The sequence below is a fragment of the Homo sapiens genome, chromosome 6 (assembly GCF_000001405.40).
Source record: "Homo sapiens chromosome 6, GRCh38.p14 Primary Assembly".
NCBI classification, from domain to species: Eukaryota; Metazoa; Chordata; class Mammalia; order Primates; family Hominidae; genus Homo; species Homo sapiens.
Window position 1 is genome coordinate 7,589,439 of NC_000006.12, and position 23,726 is coordinate 7,613,164.

The following is a 23,726-nucleotide window of genomic DNA, read 5'->3' on the forward strand; positions in this document are numbered from 1 at the left end:
AGTTATGCGTCCCCGTGAGTTGGCAACATCTCTTAGGTAGTATTGCAAAAGTGCTCAAACTGAATCTAATCATGAGGGAAACAAAATCTGACAAATCCAGAATGAGAGAGATTCTACAAGACAACTGGCCTAGGCTCATCACAACATGTAATGATTTAATAATTTAAAAAGGAGGGTGAAGGAGGCTGATCTGGATTAAAAGAGACAATAACTAATTATAGCTTATGAGTTGAAAAAATAAAACTGCTATAGAAATAATTTTGGGGACAATGGGGAAATTTGAATATGAACTGTATAATAAATGATTTTATGGACTTACTAATTTTCTTAGGTTTGATCATGTATTGCGGTTACACAGGAAAATGTTCTTATTCTTAGAACATGCATGCTAACATATTTGGGGGTGAAAAATCTGCAACTTACTTTCAAAGAATTCAGCAAAAATCATTGGGTGGGGCTGTGAATGTGGAGAGAAGAGACGGAGAGAAATCAAACCTGGCAAAATGTTAACAATGAGCTGAAGGACGGCTAAACGAAAGCTCATTGTACTATTTTTAAAACTTTTCTGTAGCTATAAGCCGTTTTTTCTGAGGAAGTCGAGGAGGGCGAATATCTTTCTGGAAAGGCCAGAGCAAATGCACGCAAGAGCTGAGAAAAGATTGGAAAACGCCTCTCAAAATAACAGTCCCGCCCTTCCCGGGACTCTTCCCTATAGGCTGTTCAAGTCACGTGGCGACTGTGGCCCCGCCCACAGCTCCCAGAGGCCTGCGCGTGCGGTCTGCAGTTCGGCCGCTTCCTCTTGGCGGGTGGGCTGCAGCTATGGAGGGCGAGCCTCCACCTGTGGAGGAGCGGCGGCGGCTGCAGGAGGAGCTGAACGAGTTCGTGGAGAGCGGCTGCCGGACGTTGGAGGAGGTGACCGCGTCCCTGGGCTGGGACCTAGATAGTCTGGATCCCGGGGAAGAGGAGGCGGCGGAGGTGAGGAGCGCGGCCGCGGGGCCCTTTCGGGGACTATCGGCCCGGGGTCTTCTCTGGAAGAAGGGAGATCCGCACTGGCAGCCGCGGAGGGAAGGGCGAGGAGTCCTCGTCCGTGTGCAGAGCCGCGATGGGCGCCTGGGACCCGAGGGGCGCCGGGGGCCCTGGAGCAACCCTGACGTCCCTGGGTTCCGGGCTGGGGCGCGCGAGGAACTCCCGAAGGCTCCACATCGACCTCCAGTGCGGCGCTCCTCCCGCGCAACTTCGAGTTTAAAGAAAACCGGGGGCCGGGCGCGGTGGCGCACGCCTGTAATCCTAGCACTTTGAGAGGCCAAGGCGGGAGGATCCCTTGAGCCCAGGAGTTCCAGACTAGCCTGGGCAACATGGTGAAACCTCTTCTCTACCAAAAGTACAAAAATTAGCCGGGTGTGGTGGTGTGAGCCTGTGGCCCCAGCTATTTGGGAGGCTGGGGTGGAAGGATAGCTTGAGCCCAGGAGGTCGAGGCTGCAGTGAGCCGAGATCGCTCCACTGCATTCCAGCCTGGGCGACAGAGCAAGACCCTGTCTCAAAAAACAAACAAACAAAATCCAGGAAGGTGTGTTGAGTGAGGAGGGAATGGCAGATTTGGTATTTATTTAGAAAATAAGTGAACGTGTCTCAGAGCGCTGCAGAGGGATTGGCGGTTTGCATTGTCATCTGTCATACGGATTCCGCAGTTGCACCAGATTCGGTGTCAGGAGAGCTGGGAGTTTGCCAGTTCGCCTTTCTGTGCCTTAAAATTGGACACTTCTGACTGGGACAGCACCAATTCTAGGATTATTAAAGGTTGTCACCAAGAGGTGGTAACTGGCAACTCCTGTGGACATTAGAATTGCTTTTTTAAAAATGTAGGCAAGTGTATTTAGAGTGAACATTCGTGATTTTTGTTTTTTTGTGGGGTATTTTCGGTGGAATGAGAGGAAGGGAAGTGCTCCAATGTGGGGTAATTCATTATCTTTACTATTACTTCTGGGTTTACCATGCTGTGATAATTTCTCCTGGGTTTAAGTTACATGACTGATTCCTCAGAGGCATTTAAAATATATTTGATTTCTGTATATACCATTCATTGTTTATTGTATTAAAAGCACAGAGGAAATTAAAAAATCTTTAATATTCATTTAGAGGGGTATTTGAAGCTGGGAATTCCACTGAGTGGGGCTTACCAGACCCTTCCATACATTGTTTACTCAGCATTGCGGTAACATTGGATTCCTTGTATTAACGTTTAAATAGCACTTTGTTTGCCACTTACATTACTTCATTTAATACTCAAAATAACCCTATGAGGTAGGTATCTTTGGCCACATTTTATAGACGAGGAAAGGAACACAGAAGTGATAATTTGTCGAAGGATACACTGCTAGTAAATGGCAGTTAGGATTTCCGCCGGTGTTTTAGTACTGAAATTTAGTGAACAACAGTCCTAGTTGTCATCTGTTCCTAGTTGTCACCTAGTTCCTAGTCCTCACAGAGCTAGTCCTAGTTGTCACCTAGTTCCTAGTCCTAGTTGTCACCTAGTTCCTAGTCCTCACAGAGCTTATTGTCTGGTGGTGATGAGGGGTAATACGGATAACTGAACCATTATATTATCATGGGTCTGTGATGGGTGGGGTTGGAATTGCTATAGTACAGTTTATTGTAGGCGGTGGTGGACAAAGTGGTGGTCAGCAAAGGCTTCCTGGACAAAGTGAATTCTAAGCTGATAAATAAAAGTGAGTTGAATTGGCTAGGGGGTTGGCGGGTGCGGGGAAGAAGCATCAACAGCATGTGTAGAAGTTCAGAGACAGGGAGTGACCAGATCGGGAAGCCTCAAGTAGTTAAGGATAGCTAGAGCATAGAGTGTAGAGTTAGAGTAGAATGGTGATGGTGGGTAGAGGTCAGATCTTAAAGGTCCTTGTCAGCCATATTAGAAAGTCTAGATTTTTTTTTTTTTTTTTAATGAAGGCAGTGGGGAGGTATGGAATTATTTTAAGCCAGGGCATATTATAATCACATTTACCTTTTAATAAAATAATAGCATACATTTATTGAATGCTTGCTATGTACCAGGCCCTATTTGAATTCCTTTATGTGTATAAACTTTGGTATACTTTTTTAAATCTTCACAATCACTTTGTGAGAGAGGTCCTGCTATTATTTTTATTTTATATAATAGAAAATGAGGCAAAGAGAGATTAAGTACCTCACCCAGTTTCATGCAGCCAGTAAGTGGCAGAGATGGAATTCAAACCAGCTACAGGATGGAAACTGAAGGGGAGGGCAGCAAGACTGGAAGCAGAGAGAGAGAGCAAGAGTGAGAGAGAGCGAGCGAGCGTAGTCAGGAGATGGTGTTGTATTCCAGGAGAGAGTTGATGATACCCTGAGTTGGGGAAGTGGCAGTGGGGATGGAGGATGTTGAGGGATTTTCAGAAATATTTAGGAGTTAAATTGGCAGGACTAGGTGATTGATTGGACGTGGGTGATGAGGGAGAAGTAGTTTCTTGCTTGAGCAAGGGGGACCTTTCACTGAAATAGAAAAGTACAAAAGGAATAGATTTGAGGGTTGGGAGATGATGAATATAATTAATTTATTTTTGTTTGTGTTGAACTTTTAGTGTCTTTAATATACGGTACTGGAGAGAAACAAGGTTTAAAGATCTAAATTTTGGGAGTCCTCACTGTATAGTGAGAGTTGTAGCTTTGAGATCTTTCAGTAAGCATATATTAAACAGCAAAAGGTCAGTGGTTATATTAATACTTACATGAAAACCAACATCTAAAGGGGGACAAATAGAGCAAGGAAGACAGATATTTAGGATATTTAGAGGAGACCAAGTAGAAGAAGCCAGAGAGGTAGAAAGAACATGAGGGGTGTGTCAGAATCACAGATGGACAATTGGAGTGTGACCTTCCAAGAGTTCAGATAAAACAAGACAGTGACATGTTTTTGGCTTTAGTAACAAGGTTATTAGTGACCTATTGACTGGTTTCAGTGGGGTGATGGTGGCAATGAGTGAGGAATCGTTATAGGTGAGGTGAGGTTGTTTAGACAGTGAGTGTAAATACACCTTTCAAAGAGTTAGGCTTTGAAGGAGTGGAGAGAGGACAGGGGCATTTAGGGAGTTAGGGGTTGAAGGAGTTTTATTTTTCTTTAATACACAACTACATGGGGGTTGAGAGAGGCCTGTAGAAGAGGATGCACTATACAGTACTGGTACATAATTAAATGGTAAACATTTAATGGTAATTATTTATTTAAATATTATGTACCTATTTTCTTTGTTTCTGTTTGATTTTTATAGGATGAAGTTGTGATATGTCCATACGATTCCAATCATCACATGCCTAAATCATCTTTGGCAAAGCACATGGCATCTTGTAGATTGAGGAAAATGGGCTATACCAAAGAAGAAGAGGTACCATATATTTACTATATTATATATACATATATGTCATGCATTTTACACATTAATTCACAATTTTTGGAAGTTACAATGTGAGGTTCACTGACAAAATAATAGCCCTTACTTGAAGGGTTGGTTGGTACTTGCCTAATTGCACAAATTATTGTGAGAAATAATTAAGTGATACTAATCTATTGTTTAGGTCAAGTCTTAAAATAGTCAATTATCTGATACTTAAGAACAGTAAGATTCTTTTTTTTCAGGATGAAATGTATAATCCTGAGTTTTTCTATGAAAATGTGAAGATACCTTCGATTACTTTGAGTAAGTATTAAGTTATTATAATTTAAAAATATCTTAGTGTAGATATTGATTTTTCATTTTTGCATTATGAAAAGAATGGATTGTATAAGCATGCTTATGACAAGGACATTTAGTACCTTAAGAGAATGTAGAATTAATTAATGTACAAGGCAACTAATTCACATAATCTGAAGTTTAGAGACCAGGCTTGTATTAATAGGCAGTGAAAACCTTACAAAGCTTTGTATAGTAGAGCAGACACCTTCTTTCTCAGTTACAACAAAAATTTGAGCATGTGACACAGATTGAAGGATGAGACTGAAGATGGACATGTGTTCCAGGGATTGACAGCATATATAGAGGTTAAAGTCTTGGGCTCTGGAAAAAGAATGTCCTGATTCAACTCCTGTTTTTATCATGAAAGATGTGACTTTCAGCGAGGTAATTAACCTGTTTGTTGCCTAAATTTCTTTATAAAATGGAGATGGTTATAATAGCACTTTGCGAAGATTAAGTGATATATATATATAATATTCTTAGAATAGTGTCAGGCACTTAGCTGGAGTCAGCTAGAGGGTCACAGAGTTGTGACCATTACAGCACAGGCTTCAAGAATGTTAGCTATTATTGGTCAGTAAAATTTGTCGCTGCTACTGCTGCGTGCCTAATTATAGGCATGAACTGCTTGAAGTCTGATTACTTACTGGGCTGTAGATAAATCTGAAAGGATTCTGTGTTCAGATTTCATAGACAGGGATGTGGATGTTTCTTAAGATTCTGGAAGGTTTGTCCACGTGCCCAAAGGGCTTGGATCAGAAACCAGTTAATAATTTAATTGTGGTCACTGATGATTCATATTGTATTTATGGATTTTTTTTTTTTTGACAGATAAGGACTCACAATTCCAGATAATTAAACAAGCTAGAACTGCAGTTGGGAAAGACAGTGATTGTTATAATCAAAGTAAGTGGCATTACAGTTTAAGTGAATTAAAGAATGAAATTATTATTTTTCTCATAAGCATGTTACTAATTTTCTTCAAGAAAAACCTGTGAAAACTGTTACATGGGAAAGGTAAAGTTTTACATTTAACATTGGGCTAATTTGCTTCGTTTCAACTTCATTTGTTAGATATTTCCTGTTGAGATACACCAGAGTCTCACTAAGACACTATCTTAGCTAGGGGTTCATCCTTTGGAATTACCTGGCGATTTATAGGTGAGATTGTCTTGTGGCTAATTAAAAAAATTATTATTTAGTAAATACAGATGGTCCCAACTTAATGATGATTTAATTTAGGATTTTTTCAATTTTATGGTGTTGTGAAAACAATACACAATCACAAGGTTTTAGACTTTAAGTACTAGTGATTCTTTTATCAGACGCTGGGCTGCATTTTCAACTTAACGGTATTTTCAGTTTATGATGGGTTTATCGGGATGTAACCCCATGTAAGTCAAGGAACATCTATAAATGCCACTGAGTGAGGCTCTTTTACTCTTGAGATTTCCTCTCTTTAGAGTGTTGAAATGCAGTGTAAAGAAAAGGCTTAGGCTAAAAGAGATTAGTCTCCACAGCTACCCTCAGATTGCTTGCTACCCAGTAAGTGAGTTGGTTTGAGGTGATGAATGCTTGGGATCCCCTTCTCAGAAAAAAAGTACAAACACAAAAGTTTTACATATAATTTCAGAGGATTCATATTAATAGATCCTTTCATGCCCAGCTTTAGAGCTGGGTTAAAGAGTTTCTCCCTGGGAACCTCAGCAGAGAGTAGGTTAGAAGTTTTAAGCATAAGCTTTTAGGAAATTGAAAGAAAACTTCATCCATCAAAAACATAGACATAGGCCAGACACGGTGGCTCATGCCTGTCATCCCAGCACTTTGGGAGGCCGAGGCAGGTGGATCATCTGAGGTCAGAAGTTCAAGACCACCCTGGCCAACATGGCGAAACCCTGTCTTTACTAAAAAATGCAAAAATTAGCCGGGCATGGTGGCAAGCACCTGTAATCCCAGCTACTCAGGAGACCGAGGCAGGAAGAATTGCTTGAACCCAGGAGGCGGAGGTTTCATTGAGCCAAGATTGCACCATTGCACTCCAGCCTGGGCAACAGAGCGAGACTCCATCTCAAAAAAAAAAACACACATAGACAAACGAGTTAATAAAAGTTTAAATTTCTAATGAATGTAGATATGACATCTAGCCAAAACCTGAACAGCTTCTCTTGTAAGGATTTCTGCATTGTCTTCTTTGAACCTTCTGTAGGTAGCTTTCTCTGGACAACTTACCTTTTTTTCCTCATTCTTTTTTCTAGCTGAATTATATTTACCAGGCTGTAGTCATGGTTGGTTTTCTCCCTCATTGAAATTGAGGATCTTTACCAAATACTGTTCTAAGCCAGTATCTGGACTTGATTTCTCAGAGTTGCTCTATGGCTTCAGAAGAAAGACCATCTTATCCTTAGTTGTCTATATTACATGGGTTCTCTACAACAGCCAGAAGCACATTTCTTGTATTTTTTGTTTTGAGGTTCCCACTTTTGTCCCTGTCAGGGAAATTCCAGGTTTTTTTCTTTGAGGGAGACAGTTGACTCTCATTTTATTTATTCGGAGAGATTACTGAGCTATGACTAGTCAAGCCTTTTTTGGCCTCTGCTATTGGTTCTGCTCATATCCCCTGGTAGTGTACCCATAAAAAAGTTGAGGTTTTTGGTTTTTGAAAGGGTTAATAATACTTAAAGGACTTTATTTGAGTCTTAAGTGGTTAGATTTACTGAATTTTAGAGTTGAAAGAGAACTTGGAGATCATCTAATCCAGTGTCTGCATTTTACAGATAAGAAAAACCCTGTCTGATAGAGACATGATAAAGTTCTAGTGTGTTTGTTCTAAAGGTTCTCCGTATTTTTATTTTTTAAAAGGTTATTTTTTTAAAGCTCTTTTATGAATTACATTTCTCTTTCACAACAAACTTGTGATAAGTTGAACGATATTTTCCCCTCCATAATAGGTGAAGAAACAGGCACACAAAAGTGAAGTAACTCACCTCTGCTAGATAATATCAAAGTGGATCCAGAACTAAGTTCTGAATTTTGACACAAACTCTGAACTGAGTTGTTTGATTTTCTGTTAGAAACCCTACATTTAGTAAAATTTGTGGACCAGGATTCTAGATATTGCTCAAATTTATTTATGATGTCTTTCATGATTAAGTGGAAGAATATCACAAACTTCATATCTCTGCATACTAATCGTGACTATCAGTGCTGTTCATTGTTTATTCTGCTTTGTGTAAACCTGTTTTAAAGAAATAAAAGTAGCTGCTTGGCCATATATTAATGATGATAACTGAGTTTTTGTTTCCTTATCTGTAATACAAAACTCTCATAGAGTTGTTGAGAGGAACAGAGATAATGGATGCTAAACAAGCCTTAGCTCCAAAAATTGGTAGCTTCTATGGTCTAAGTGAAAATTAATATACAGAAAGTAATATTAAGATAATGAAATGGATGAGTTTTATATATATGAGTAATTTAGAAAATGTTCTGCTTTTTAATTTTTATAATAGTAATAAGGGAGATTTGGACATTGAGCTTAGTTCTTTTCAAAAGCAAAGAATTACTTTGAATGAATAGTTAAGAGGAACTATTATATTATTTTGATAGTTAAGAGGAACTTTAATTTTGAATTCTTACACTATCTTAAATTAAGATTTAATTGTTAACCGTAACCTTTTTTTTTTTTTTTTTTGAGGCGGAATCTTGCTCTCTCGCCCAGGCTGGAGTTTAGTGGCACAATCTCTACTCACTGCAAGCTCTGCCACCTGGGTTCACGCCATTCTTCTGCCTCAGGTCCCGAGTAGCTGGGACTACAGGCACCTGCCACCACGCCTGGCTAATTTTCTTGTATTTTTTTAGTAGAGACGGGGTTTCACTGTGTTAGCCACGATGGTCTCGATCTCCTGACCTTGTGATCTGCCCACCTTGGCCTCCCAAAGTGCTGGGATTACAGGCGGGAGCCACCGCGCCTGGCCAACGGTAACTTTATATGATCTTCAACCTTCTTTAAAAATTTTTTTTGGCCACGTGTGGTGGCTCCCACTTGTAATCCCAGCACTTTGGGAGGCCCAGGTGGGCAGATCACCTGAGGCCAGGAGTTCAAGACCAGCCTGGCCAACATGGTGAAACCCTGTCTCTACTAAAAATACAAAAATTAGCCAGGCGCTATGGTGCGTGCCTGTAATCCCAGCTACTCAGGAGGCTGAGGCAGGAGAATCACTTGAACCTGGGAGATGGAGGTTGCAGTGAGCCAAGATGGCGCCACTGCACTCCAGTCTGGACGACAGGGTGAGACTCTGTCTCAAAAAAAGAAAAAAAAATTTTTTTTTATATCCTCTGTAGAGTTATGCAATTTCTCAACAGATTATTTTTGTGGCTCACTTATGTCTTAGACATTTTAAGATCTTTTCCCTCAGGACAGGACTTTCTTTAAATATCTTATTGATGTATTTACTTTTAAGGGAGAATGACTAACATGAAAAATTTTACATTTCTCCATCTAATTCGTATTTTGTTTGTTACACACTACAATGTAAGTTTTTTGACAAGGTTTTATATGTATGTTTTCATTTCATCTGTCATGTCAGGCCTAAACTCAGTGTACAGAATTCTCAATCTTAAACTTTATGAAAGCTCATACAGCTATTCAATCTATATACTTATTTTCAGATATAGTTACTTCGGTTAATTTTTTAACCAAGATATTTCAATCATAAACAATCATTTTATGTTTAGTGGTTTATCTTTTTCTTTCAATATTAAATATTCAGGTTGTATACTTCAGTATTGTGAAGTGTGTTTGAGTCATGGCCATGATATGAAGATCAGTGTACTATCAAAGAAACTTAAAAAGACAGCATAGGATGGGCTTTAGATCCAGTCTGTTCCTATCACTTGTGAGACTTTGGGCAAGTCATGTTACTTCTATGACACTTAATTTCTTTATCTGTAACGTTAAGGAATTGACTCTGAATGAATTCTCCCTAAAATTCTGAATTTGTATCTTTGTGACAACACCTACTAGTACTATTTAATGTTGAATGTTATATGTTTAAGATCCCCTTTGATGACAAAAGTAACAAGAATGAGAATTGGCATTATTAAAACAATAGATTAGAGTTTCAATTTGGGGTGACGAAAAAGTTCTAGAGATGGATAGAGGTTGCACAACGTGAATGCACTTCATGTCTCTGAACAGTACACTGAAAAAATGGTTAGAATGTTAAATTTTATGTTATATATATTTTGCCACAAAAAACCTGCAAAAACAGGCAGCCAAAGGGTCTTAGAGTTATTATAATTACAGCACATTCATATGTACCTTTAAATCATTTAAAAACATGCATTTTGAAAATTTACATTTTATGTAAATGTAAGTTTATTTAAGTATGTTTATCCTTTTTGTTGTCAGAAATATCTATGTTCCGAATGAATTGAATGCAGTTTGTTGCTTAACCTTTCCTGTACTTTTTCTTTTTCAGTAATTGGGGTGAGTATAAAGAGGAATTAGGAACCTGAATGTACTCCTTATTTAAAGATATGCAGTATCCTTTTTGCAAATGATATCCTTTTAAAAGTAAAATTTCTAAACTTTATCTTAATACCTGTCACATATTATAGTCTTGAATTGGAATTTTGGTTGAATTACAAGGAATTTAAGTATCAGTCTTCATCATAAAGAAATTTAAGATGAATAAATTGAAGAAAAGGCTAAAATAATTTAAGAAGGAAATTATATTTCTTTGTTTAAAAATAACAGGCAAAGGTTTATATGAAGCTTGTTTGTAATACATCATTATTTTCTAATCTGTGTTTTCCTCCCAAATTTTTATAGCCTAATTCAAAGGAATTAGGCTTATCAAAGCTGTTTTTATAATTTTGTATTATGAAATGCCTACTATAATTAGAATAAAATTGATTGACTTGAAAGGGAACCCTTTTTTCCCCATTAATTCAAAACCCTTTGACGAGTAAAAATGGCCATATATTGTTATGTATAGCCGTGTTAAACCATGGCCTCAGATTCACTGCAGCTCTCCTCTTAATATGTAGACAAGTAGTACCTCTTTTTTGTTGTAATGCTTAGTTCATAGTATGCTCTTATTTGAATTCTTTTTGCCTCTACCTAGGAACTTAATGAGGTTAGACTTTATCAAATATAAGTATCTGGAAAGAGCTACTGATTTTATGTTGTTCTATGAACCAGTTACTACTTTAGAATAAGTTAGCAAACAATAAAAGGATTCCTTTAGTAGCTCATGTTCTTTGTTTGCATTAGTGAGTAATGAAGTCTAGAAAGAATTGTTTTAAATTGCTTTTTTTACAGTTCCAATCATTTTTTTATTTGAGAAAATTTGAATCTCAAAACAAAAATTTTCTTCAATGTTTAATACATCATATCAAGGTATTGTATTTACTTTTTTTCACTAATGAGCAGATTTTAGAAAATTCTGTAACTACCGGGGGGCACTGCTATTAACTTTTTTCAATTAATTTGGTTAAGCCACTATGCTTCCTCCTCAGGAAATTAAAATGAGTTTAATTTAATCTGTGCTTTCCTGGCGTGAGGAGGTGTGGGATTTCTGCTACTTAATTATTTTGTGGCCCCTAGCTCTAAGTCCTTGCACAAGTGGGATATATTTTGAATATTGACCATCTAGCTTGATGTCTCATACAAAAAGATATTTTTTACACAGTTTTTAATATTTCCATAGTTTATTTTCAAAGGGACTGTAATGCATATTACTTATTAAAAGCATTTTTTCCCCCAACTTTGATGGGGAAAAGCATATCAACAGATACCTACTTTTGTAGATGGCTATAAAAATTGTTACCCAAAAGGCTTTCTTAGAGCAAATTGTCTCTTATGATTATTCCTGCCTGCCTCCATGGGATCTGTCTTTATATTGTTGGAGAGAATAGCAAACATCCATAATACATTTTTTTTTTTTTTGTGGATATAACATTCAGGATAGAATTGTTTGTCATTTATTGCTTAGATTGATATTTTGTATACTTAGGGATTATGAAAAAAGTTTGTGTTAATATTGCATTATTAAAGCACATGTTTAAAGATAATTATTAGATTTTAAGTTCACAATGCTTCATGTATTGTTTATTCTTGTGATTTTATTTTTACTTTAGGAATTTATTCTTCATTGCCTGTTGAAGTTCCTTTGAATCACAAACGGTTTGTTTGTGATCTAACTCAAGCTGATCGTCTTGCCCTCTATGATTTCGTAGTTGAGGAGACAAAGAAAAAGCGCTCTGATTCTCAAATTATTGAAAATGACAGCGATCTCTTTGTAGACTTGGCTGCCAAAATCAATCAAGGTTTGAGATGCACATCATGGCTTTACATTTCTTCATTATCATTTTATTCTATGAGTGTTATTAAGATGATTTAATTCTTGGGCCACTTTGAGTTAGAGTAAAATGGTTTTGTATCATTTAATATTGACATGAAGTTGGCCCTCTGTGTCTGTGGGTTCCATATCCATCAATTTGACCAACGGTGGATTGAAAATATTTGGAAAAAATAAAAGTGTGTGGTTGCCTCTGTACTATACATGTAGAGACTTTTTATTCTTGTCATAATTCCATAAACAATATATTAACAACTATTCATGCAGCATTTACATCGTATCAGGTTTTTGGTGTTTTTTTTGTTTTGTTTTTTTGAGACTGAGTCTTACTCTGTCACCCGGGCTGGAATGCAGTAGCGCGATCTCAGTTCGTTGCAATCTCTGCCTCCCAAGCTGAAGCAATTCTCGTGCCTCAGCCTCCTGAGTAGCTGGGATTACAGACATGTGCCACCACACCTGGCTACTTTTTGTATTTTTAGTAGAGATGGGGTTTTGCTACGCTGGCCAGGCTGGTCCCAAACTCCTGGCCTCAAGTGATCCTCCTGTCTTGGCCTCCCAAAGTGCTGGGATTACAACGTGAGCCACTGTACCCGGCCTGTATTAGGTATTGAAAGTAATTTAGAGATGACTTCAAGTGTACTGGAGGGTGTGTGTAGGTTATATACAAATACTACACCATTTTATATCAGAGACTTGAGCATCCATGGATTTTGATATCCTTGGGGGTTCCTGAACAAATTCTGCATGGATACTGAGGGATATTTACTCAGTACCTGAGGTTTTACTCTGACTTTTACATTAAATGTACCTTCTTTCTGTGAAAATATTACAACTGTGCTGTTACTTTAATCTATGTACCTAAGCACTCTTATGTTCAACTAATGGCTGGAGAGAAGAAATGATATAAAACTTAGCCCGTGTATATAAATAATATACAATTTTTAGAATGTTTTTATGTGCTACTTTGAAACAAGTTAAAATATAGGATTGTGATGTATTTATTTGATAATTCATAGAATTTAAAAGCTTTGAAGGATATAATACTTTTATTTTATTCTTTCATTAGACAATAGTCGAAAAAGTCCAAAATCCTACCTTGAAATCCTGGCAGAAGTACGAGATTATAAAAGAAGACGCCAGTCCTATAGAGCCAAGAATGTTCACATAACCAAGAAATCATATACTGAGGTAAGTTTTACATAATCTTTGTTGATAAGAATTTCCCTTAGGTAATTTTCTAAATCTGTTCTATGAATTTCCACAATTCTTTGGAAATTTTCTGAAAGTGTCTTCAGGGTGGCCACACCTGATTTGTATCTGTTCCATCACTTCTAGATCCACCCTTTAGCAAGCAAAGGCTTTCATAGTATAAGAACCTTATATAAAACAATTGTACAATCTTAAAAGATATCTCCTTGTGAGAAAGTAGTAGTGTATCATGGTAAGAGCATGAGTTTGGGTTTAGGTAGACCATACCTTGACTTTTGATTCTGCTGTTTCTCATTGGCTCTTTGACTTAAGCAAGTTATTTGAGCTTTTTAGATTGAATGTTTTCTTTTCATAATAATAATAATATAATCTTTGCAGGGTTGTTATGAGAATTGACTGACAGAATGTATGCAAACACAAATTTCTTCATGAATATTAGCTATTATCTTTTTTGGCAGAAAGCATGTTTTTATGTACTCTAGTAAATATTTGGACTTAAGAAATGTCTTGATATACATTATTTATGTATTAGTCTCTTGGTGTATGTCTAGACTTATTTTCAGATGCCATTTAATGGCTCGTTAGAGTTGATGAATTTTTTTGGTATGTGAATTACCTTGCCCAGACTCTACAAATAATTGCCTCATTGATTCCCTAATTGTTCCCGTATTATTTCTTACTTCTCTCTGATTTAAAAGACCTTCCATAATCTGGCCTCCTTTTCCCAAGCATTTCTTTTGCTTTAGTCAAGCATGTCTCTTAAACTATATCTGATTGCATATAATTATTCTTACCTCCATGCCCTATTACCTGTTACTTTCTTACCTGAAATGCTCTGTTTTTGCCATTTTAAATCTTGTTGAGTTTAAGGGCCACCATTTCCATGAGGTGCTAGTTGACTAATCTATCACTAGTTTATTGTACTAATACTCTGTACCACACAGCTTAGCTCTAAATTTTATGCTGTTCTTTTTACAGTTAAAATCTGTGTTTTAGACTTAACTTAGCAAGTAGAGACCTGGGTCCCTGTCATACTACCTTGGTGATTCTCATAGTCCCTAAGATACTTGGCTCATCAGTTATTTCTTCTCTCGTCTCATAACCCTTGTAATCAAGCTTAAATGTTGCTGCTAGCATTCTTTACGGTTTTATAGTTGATATTTTATTGTGGAAATATTCAAACATATACTAAAGTGGATAGCATCGTCTAAGGAATGTACCCATCACCCAGCTTCAAAAATTGAAATAAAAGATTGGCAAGGGCTTCATAGAGAAAAGCATTTGAGGGAAAGGGAGAAGCAAGGAGGAATAAAGGAATGTCTGCTATTGACTCTTGCCTATGTGGTGGAGCCTGAGCTAGGTGGATTCTGTGCAAATAGCAGGCTTCAAGGCGCTTACATAGAGCTGCTGACAGGGAGGCTTGTAGGCCTGCCAGGGAAGTGCGAGAGCTGGAACTTGAGATAGGTGTGTGTGACTCATGTCACTCCGCTAGGTTGGACCTTGGCATATCTTAGGTTTTCCATGGGAGAATATAGTGGAGGAGGAGAAGTGGTGGATAAGGATTTTCCGGGTGGAAGAACTAGCATTCTGAAAAGCAGATAGAAGTATAGGAGTTTTTCAGAGACTCATTAGTAACCCAGGGTGGCTAGAGCTTAGGGCTTCTCTGTTGAGAGATGAGGCTAAGTTCTATCTTATGTAGGAAAATCCTGGAGGGCTCTGAAGGCTTCATTAAGGAGTTTGGATATTGTTCGATTTTACTTTGAGAGCCATTGAAAGTTTCTTTAAGGTGGGGAGAAATGCAGTCAGGCCTGAATGAATAGTGTTTCTGAGATTGCCCCGTGTCCCCTATACCTTTTTTCTGAAAACATTTTCTATTTAATCATGAGGGAAGTGTAAACTCCTATTTTAGTTTTGTCTTTGCCTCTGCAGTGACTAACCCTGTGCTTGGTGGCATGGGTAAATAGGAAAGGAAAAACTTTCAAGTGGTTTTTACCTATTTGAAAGTTTCTTTATAGAGTCATTCAGAAAGTATCTGTGAAGTGACTGTATGTTTCATATTTTGTCTTATTAAGTCATATGATTAAGTCAAGATGACTTAATTATAAGGTTTTAAAAAAATCATTTGTAAATAAGCTCTAATAGAGAGATAAATTGCAAAACTAAAAATAGTACCAAGAACTCCCATATTGTCTTTACCCAGATCACCCATTGTTAGCATTTTGCCACATAGCTTCTCATTGGCACTCTCTCTCTCTCTCTCTGCACATTTTTCACTCTCTCGATCTCGATCTGTACATATTTTTTTCCCCTGAATTCTTTAAGGGTTAAATTACATACCTCATAACCCTTTATCCCCAGTATGTATTTCCTAAGAACAGAGATATTTTCTCACATAAAGGTAGTACAGTTATAGCAACTTCAAATTTAATATTGCTGTAAAACTTTTATCTACTATTCATATTCCAGTTTGACCATTGCCTTTTCTGTGTTCTCTAAACTGCACAAGTCCCACAGTCAATTATGTCATAGCACTTAGTAAATATTTGATTGTTAGCACTGATTTTTCTAGCGTTACAGTCTTAATTTTTTGAGCAGTTTTCTTACCTGAAGTTCGGTGCTTACCTCTCCCAAGGTGATTCGAGATGTGATAAATGTGCACATGGAAGAACTCAGCAATCATTGGCAAGAAGAGCAAGAGAAGGCAGAGGATGATGCCGAAAAGTACGTCATTATCTTTATTGGTGAAAATACTCTCTCTTTGATAACAGATAACAATTAACTTATAATTGTTAAATTTTAGCATTTCCAAAACCCTTGATAGCACACAGTAAACTCGTGAAAATGCTTTTTGTTTTTCGTTGTCAGTGCCCAGGGTTATTGTACCAGAGTTGTTCTGACATTACCCTTTGACAGTTTTCAGGGGATAGCCATATTAGTGAAATATTCAAATAGCAAAACATACTAACATTTATGCCTAGTATTCCATTATGGGAACACCAAGCATGTGGGAGTTATTTATGTCCTACTGCTCAAGGTCATCGCCAAGGTCTCATTGCAAAAATTAAAAAAATTGCAACCTCAGGCATAAATGGGTTAAGAGCTGTGTTTATTTGTCCTTTTATATGGGTTATAAGATTGTGCATATTTAGACCATATCTACCATTGGTTTGATATAGAATATTACACTTTAGACTGGTGTGTCTGTGTACGTATACTGGAGACCAGTGGTAACACAAACTGATTAACATTCTTTTCTGTGTTTTAGGAATGAAGAAAGGCGATCAGCTTCAGTAGATTCACGGCAGTCTGGTGGAAGCTATTTGGATGCTGAGTGTTCACGACATAGAAGGGATAGGAGTAGAAGCCCACATAAAAGAAAAAGAAACAAAGATAAGGATAAAAACTGTGAGTCGAGAAGAAGGAAAGAGAGGTGGGTCTAACCCTGCATCATCCAACGTTGAATTCTGTACTTTTTAAAAATAGAACAGGTTCTTCTGTTGTAGACCATGCTGAGAAAATAGATTTTAAGAATAAGCTAAAGTAAGGAGAGTAAACAATTGACGATGATTCTTAACATTCATTATAGTTCAGTTCAAATAACCACCACTCTAGTGACATAGATCTCTACATGCGTGATTGGATGTTTTTTTCCCTTTTTTATCTCTTACTTGCTTGCTTCCTAAACAGGACATATGAAAGTATTGTCTAGGCAGGACATTAACTGTTAAACACGGTTTTCCCAGATCCCTTTCTTCTGCTCATTCCTTCCTTCCTCTTTCTCTTATTCTTTCTTTCTTTTTCCTGCTAATTCCTCAAATAAGGGTATGTAGGGTCAGAGAGAACATCTAAATTTTGACAGTCAATTTTGCCTTTGTTAGTAAAATTTTGATAGCTTGAGAGATGTGAATTAATACCGAATTAGTAAATGTAAATCATTTGAGGTCTATTTCTGTAGTCCAGCTGCTTACAAGGCATGTACCTGGATCTCAAGTTCATCAGGTCTAGAACTAAACTTACCTTTTTCTCAATCTGCTCCTCTTTCCCCAGCATTACTGTCCTGGTTAAAGAGATGACTCTCATCTATTAACCTAAGCCAGAAATCAAGGAGTCATTTTAGATACTTCCTTCCACTCCTTATCATCTGGTCAGTTCCTAATGAAATGATGGTCATTTTCCTAATTTTTCTACTTGTCTCTAAATTTACTGCATATGATTCCATTCCCTTGTATACTGCTAGAGTGAATAGTCACCTCATAGAACTCTTCCGTGGCGGTCTGGCATGGTGGCTCATGCCTATAATCCCTACACTGTGGGAGGCTGAGGCAGGTGATCACTTGAGCTCAGGAGCTCAAGGCCAGCCCGGGCAACCTGGCAAAACCTCGTCTCTACAAAGAATACAAAGATTAGCCGGGTGTGGTGGTGCATACCTGTGGTCCTAGCCACTTGTGGGGCTGAAGCAGGAAGATTGCTTGAGCCTGAGAGGTTGAGGCTGCAGTGAGCCGTGTTCTCACCCCTGCACTCCAGCCTGGGCAACAAAGTGAGACCCTGTCTCAAAAAAAGTGAGAACTCTTCAGTGGCAAAATTCACATTCTTTGAATGGCTCTCAAGACTTCTGGGATCCTGGCTCCTACCTACTTCTTGTATTTTGCTACTACGCCATGAAATGCATAACTTGTCCTCTAGCCAGCCTGAGTTACTTAGAGTTCCTCATCCACACTGTGCCACATCTATGCCTTTCCACTTTTGTGTTCTGCTGCCTACCTCTTTTTAAAAGCCTACTTGGTAAACTCCTCCTCATCCTTTAAGACCCATCTCAGCCATTTCCTGAAGCCTTTTTCTCACTTGTTCAAGCAGAGCTGATCATCTTTTCCATTTTGTTGCCACCCTACCTAGCTTATAGTTGTTCTTGAGCTTAATAGTTATTATTATCGCTGCTAGACTGTGAGCTCCATGAAGGCAAGGTCTGTATCTTACTTAGTTTTATACACAAAGTACTTTCAAATATTAGGCTCTCAAATAATATCCTGTCTCTCCAGGGCCACTGGTAATCAGGAATTAAAGCTTATTGTATTGGTTTGGTAATTTTGTTCATCTTACTATCATTCAGTTAATTAGGTTTAAAGCTACCTATGACTTAGTCCTTTTCTTATACAAATGAAATATTTGCTTAGTAATCCTTTTTGATTCATATGCTGTTTTATAATAACTATAGTGCTTCTTCTACTTAAGTAATTTTTGACATCTCTAATCAATCCCTGTTGACTTAAATACATTAGAAGTCCTCAAAATCTAAACATTAAATAGTTTTTATTTAAAGAAGATAAACTGGATATAAGTAAGAAATACTTCTCAACAGGCTAATCTTTGATATCCAACCCTGGGGTGGACTGAATTATAGGGACTTTGTTTATCTGACGTAAACCAGAACAAGTAAAACATTCATTTCGAATTAAAGTGTTTTTTTTTTTAAGAGTATGTATGAAAAATGCATTATTAAAACTAAGAGACAGGCCGGGCGTGGTGGCTCATGCCTGTAATCCCAGCACTTTGGGAGGCCAAGGCGGGTGGATCACCTGAGGTCAGGAGTTCGAGACCAGCCTGGTCAACATGGTGAAACCCTGACTCTACTAAAAATACAAAAAATAGCCAGGTGTGGTGGTTCGCGCCTGAAATCCAGCTGCTTGGGAGGCTGAGGCAGGAATCGCTTGAATCCGGGAGGCGAAGGTTGCAGTGAGCCAAGATCGTGCCATTTGCGCTCCAGCCTGGGCAACAAGAGTGAAACTCCATCTCAAAAAAACAGAAACAAACAAATAAAAAAACTAAGAGACGAAACTGAAATAGGAATAATCAAAGTGATTTTTTTTTAATTACGCTTTGAAATTCTGCTTTAAAATTAACTTTGAGTATATGTAAATGATAACCAGAAAATTCTTTTCAAATAGAATGTTAAAGTAGCATATTACTGTTGAAAGTGGTGTATTACTGTTGAATTATTTTAAAGCTCTGATATTAAAATGTCCATCATTTATAACCATTTTTTTATACCTCTTTTATTTCAGGGATGGGGAAAGACACCATAGTCATAAAAGAAGAAAGCAAAAAATATAAATGAAGTACTTGTACCTATATTAATTATGCTTACGCCATGATAACCAATATACAGATATATTAATTGGAATTCCTTTGCATAGGAGAATGTTTTTATGATCTGTTTAGTGCTTATTATTTTTTTTATGATCTGTTTAGTGCTTATTATTTTCCAGTAAATATGCTTCAAACCATGAGTACACTATTAGGCCCTACAACTTTGTTTTCCTTATATTTTATTAGATGATTTGCTTCCTATAACTGATGTTGTTTTGTTCGTTTTGCTAATATATGTATCTCAAAATTCTTTAAGTCAATATTTATCATATGTAAATTAAACATGAATACATTCTCATCTTATAACTACATCTTATAAATAAGGCTAATAACCCTTAGAACACCACCTGCGGTTCTGTCCTCACCCCAGTGGTGACTACTGTTTACCACTACACTGGTGAATTGTAGTAGGGAAAAACAATCTAAATATTGAAGAGGAATGGCCTAATTAAAATATGATGTAGTCATAGGATAGATTATTGTATTGGAGTTAAAAGAAATAATCTAGATCCATATTAACCTGGATTGGTCTCAAAAACATAATGCTCAGTGAAAATAGCAAGTTGTAGAAAGTTATATACAAATTATATATATGTACAAAACAATACTATGCATTCTCTATGGCTATATAATGTACGTAAATCTATTTTTAAAGGTTCAGAGGAATCCATACCAAAGTTCTAACAGCGAGTAGGAGGTATAGATGAGAGATTAGGGGTGCAAATCAGGATTGGGAGGGTGGTCAGAGGGAACTTTAGCTTTATCCATAACATTAATTTTTTTAAAAAATAAGGTCTTAATGTTTCATTTAATTTAAAATATACTGTCATGTTGTGTTTTGTAAATCAACTGAATTGAGGTACTATTTACTTAGATTTATTGCACCCTTTTTACGTGTGTATTTTATTGGGTTTTGACAGATTCATACCTCTGTGCAGCCACTATCACGATCAAGATACAAATATTTTCATTGCCCCCAAAATTCTCATACCCCCTTTCCCAATCAATTCCTCTACCCCTAGCCCTAGGCAGCCACAGATTTGCTTTTGGTTACCGATTAGATCTATCCATTGTAGAATTCATGTAAATAGAATACTGTAGTATGTACTTTGCCTTCTTCCTCTCTGCAGATTTTTGAGATTGATCCCTGTGTGTCAGTTGTGCATTTTTTTTGTTGCTGAGTAGTATGTTCTATCTTATGTCAGATCATTCACGTGAGACTTTGGCATGAAATGTTAAGCATCCGACATCTAAATAGCAATATTTTGAATACTGGAAACTCAGGTTAAAGATTTTGTTTCCAAGTAGAAATGAAATCTTATTATTTTAATAAGTAGCTGACAGTGACAGAAAGATTGGATTTGGATCAGATTGGCTGTTAGGCTTCAGGTATGGGAAACAGCTCTCAGATTTATAAATTGGAAATCACCAGGTTACTTGCCAATATATAGTCATATTGCTGCCATTGTACTTAATTTCTAAATATATAAAATCCACATTTAAAAATTATAAAAGCAAGGACTTGGGAGTGACTGATGAATCATGAAATTGCTGCTTTTATAGATCAAAACTACTTGAATCATCAGGAATTTCATATTTTTCATATTGTGTGACAACTTATAATTTTGTTTCAAATTGTGATTTCATTGATTTTACTAACTGGAAGGAAGAAGAGTAAAATTGGCATATTTAGGTTTTTTGTAGAAGAAAGATACAAGTGAAAATTAGGAGTGGATTGGAGAAATTGGGGGGAAATAGAAGAGTACGGAGAAAGGAAGAGATTGAAAATGTTACCAGAGTTCTTTAAAGCTCACATTTTATAGTATCACTGCTACAAACTATTTAATGAAATGTGGCATCGGGTGAAAAGAGGCATTTGTTTGATCCTTGAACGAATTAATCTCACGTACTTCCCTGTTTGTGGTTTGAGCCTTTCACTGGATGTGAGCTACTTGAGAGCAGGGTTTATGCCTTCATCAGCGTGACCCCTGTGCCTGCAGCCTCATAGGTGTTAATCTGTAATTTTAAATTTTGACAAAAGCATTTTCACAGCCCTGCCACATAAGATCTAGTTTTTATTTCTAGAGTGCTGCTATGAATAATTACTATAGCTGCTGTCCATCTTGCCCATCCATTAAGGTACCTTCTCACAAACATTTCTAATCTACTGGCTGGAGTGCAGTGGTGCAGTCTGTAGCTCACTGCAGCCTCAAACTCCTAGGCTCAGGCGATCCTCTTGCCCTGGCCTCCCATGTAGCTGCAACTATAGGTGTGTGCCACTACACCTGGCTAATGTTTTTAGTTTTTTAGAGATGGAGTCTTGCTCTGTTGCCTAGGCTGGTCTTGAACTCCTGGGCTCAGATGATCCTCCTGTCCTCAGCCTCCCAAAATGCTGGGAGCCACCAGGCACCAGGTGTGATCTACCACACCTGTCTAAAAAGTATGTATTTTTAAATTTTTTTGTAGAGACAGGATCTCACTATGTTCTCCAGCTGGTCTCAAGCTCCTGGCCTCGGCCTCCTAAAGTGCTGGGATTACAAGTGTGAGCCACTGTGCCTAGTCACTTTAATTGAGATATTGGCAAGTCAACTGCCATGCAGAGCCCAGGGCACTGGTTATATTCAGTAGGAAACTGAACTCAGCACTCAGAATTTTAAATTAAATCAATGATCTTCAAGTATTTGCCACTTTCGAGTACAGCTAATTGGATAATCTCAAACCCTTTAGTGAAAATATCTTAAATGCATTGAGAATATTTTCTAATTACCTGTGTATGCTACAGTACAGACATTAATTCTATAAACATGTTCATAGGTCTTCCCCCTCGCCCCGCCCGTCTTCTAAGGGCATTTTCTGTTTCTTTTTAGTGAGTTCATGAATGTTTAACGGTTCTGGCGCAAAGCTTTCTTGCATTCTGAGCATAAAAATAATAAAACCCACTTATATTTGCTTGAGTGTGTTTACAAGTCAATTTCCTTTTATGTAGCTTGCTTTTTCATTTGCTATAATTGATCCTGCAGGTGTGTGAATTATTAAACTAACGCTCTTTTAAACCACACTTGTTTTATTAGTGATTGTACTTCCTGCTGTGGTCACAGATTTAGGAGTTTTTGGTGTTACAGAAAATGCTCATAGCTTTTGGATATTTGGACTGGGACCAGTAATTTCTAGAGCTCCCTTTCAGGAAAGAAAAAATAAGATTTGCCAGATGTAAGGGGCTCTGAGCTAGATTCATCTTTATTGAATAAGTCAAGTCACTTTCCCATTTTAAAAACAAGTCCACCTAAGAAAAAAGAGGCTGCCTTAAAATAGAATATAAATTCCTAACCTAGCTTTTAGTCCTTTATTTTAGTATTATAAAGCAGGGGTACTTGCTACATACAGCCATGGGGAGAATGGTGAATGAAGAAAGGCTGCAGGCTCCGGGGAGTCCTTCCTTAGGAGTTTCACATCTTGTGTCACCAATTAAGGGATCTGGGTTTGAGTTACTTGAGTACTCTTTATGAGGATAATTTCCCGTAATTGTGGAGCTTTAGTAACCCATGTTCCTCCAGCTGCAAGCCATGACTCCTAGTCTAGAATGAGAAAGGTAATTAAAGGGAGCGTCAGGAATACAGAGATGAAGCAGGAGCCTGGGCTTTATTTGGTAATGCCGACACAATTAAAAAACCAATACTTTAACGTAATAAATTCTTCACATACTGACAGAATAACTGATCAAAGAGGGCAGTAAGATGAGTCAGGTACAATACAGGCTGTGTAACCCTGGGCAGACTCTTAGTCCCTCCATACCTTCTCCATACTGTATGCCCTCAGAAGATTGTCAAGCATAATGTGATTTGGCCCATGCAGTGTCTGACATGTCGCAGGTACTGAATGCCCACTGTTACTGTGATTCATTACAGATGTGAGCTCATCCTTTCTACTCTGGCTCCTGTGACTGGTTTGGATTCTCAGATCGGTGTTCTCTCTCATTCTGCATGCTCTGCCCAGCAGCTGTGACCCACTCTTAGTTTTAACTATGCCGACAACCAATTCCATGACTTCAGCCCAGACCTCTCCTCCAAGCGCCGTGTCTATGCGTAAAATAGCACAGCTTCTCCTAGTGCTGTCCACATACTTCTGACTCCACACTGCAAAACTACAGTTACCACCCTTCCGTCAAACCTCTGCCTCCTCACTCTGTCTTTCTGCATTTGGTTCACGTCACCATCTTCCTTTTCGATCATGCTAAAGACCAGAGAGCTGGCGAGGT

At 37.7% G+C, this 23,726-nt stretch overlaps 1 protein-coding gene across 3 annotated transcripts, besides 2 other annotated features; it reads left to right on the top strand.

The window, feature by feature from the left end:
• Nucleotides 517-1,256: an enhancer, noted in NCBI's record as "H3K27ac-H3K4me1 hESC enhancer chr6:7590188-7590927 (GRCh37/hg19 assembly coordinates)". NCBI's record gives its function as "activates a minimal SCP1, AML or CMV promoter by ChIP-STARR-seq in primed H9 embryonic stem cells {active_cell/tissue: H9 hESC(primed)}" and the evidence as "EXISTENCE:reporter gene assay evidence [ECO:0000049][PMID:30033119]".
• On the top strand, nucleotides 760-22,529 carry SNRNP48 (small nuclear ribonucleoprotein U11/U12 subunit 48). Of its 3 annotated transcripts, none has more exons than NM_152551.4 (9): nucleotides 760-975; nucleotides 4,296-4,409; nucleotides 4,661-4,721; nucleotides 5,589-5,663; nucleotides 11,898-12,086; nucleotides 13,185-13,306; nucleotides 15,960-16,048; nucleotides 16,593-16,757; nucleotides 19,387-22,529. In NM_152551.4, the coding sequence occupies exons 1-9, from the start codon at nucleotides 820-822 to the stop codon at nucleotides 19,433-19,435; spliced, it is 1,020 nt and encodes a 339-aa protein (NP_689764.3). In that variant the 5' UTR covers nucleotides 760-819; the 3' UTR covers nucleotides 19,436-22,529. The 3 variants fall into 3 exon arrangements, with proteins under 3 accessions (NP_689764.3, XP_011512614.1, XP_047274194.1); XM_011514312.4 differs by having other exon boundaries at nucleotides 760-912; XM_047418238.1 differs by lacking the exons at nucleotides 11,898-12,086; nucleotides 13,185-13,306; nucleotides 15,960-16,048; nucleotides 16,593-16,757; nucleotides 19,387-22,529 and adding an exon at nucleotides 10,235-10,421.
• Nucleotides 835-984: an enhancer, noted in NCBI's record as "active region_23950". NCBI's record gives its function as "activates an Ori minimal core promoter by ATAC-STARR-seq in GM12878 lymphoblastoid cells {active_cell/tissue: GM12878}" and the evidence as "EXISTENCE:reporter gene assay evidence [ECO:0000049][PMID:35858748]".
• Nucleotides 22,530-23,726: the final 1,197 nt, after the last annotated feature.

What these genes read in the sequence shown, in the direction of transcription:
- SNRNP48 (NM_152551.4), top strand. Translation starts at nt 820, where the DNA reads ATGGAGGGCGAGCCTCCACCTGTGGAGGAGCGGCGGCGGCTGCAGGAG. An exon ending in CCAAGAAATCATATACTGAG is followed by an intron (nt 13,307 to 15,959) that starts GTAAGTTTTACA and finishes ACCTCTCCCAAG; the next exon opens with GTGATTCGAGATGTGATAAA. An exon ending in TCGAGAAGAAGGAAAGAGAG is followed by an intron (nt 16,758 to 19,386) that starts GTGGGTCTAACC and finishes CTTTTATTTCAG; the next exon opens with GGATGGGGAAAGACACCATA.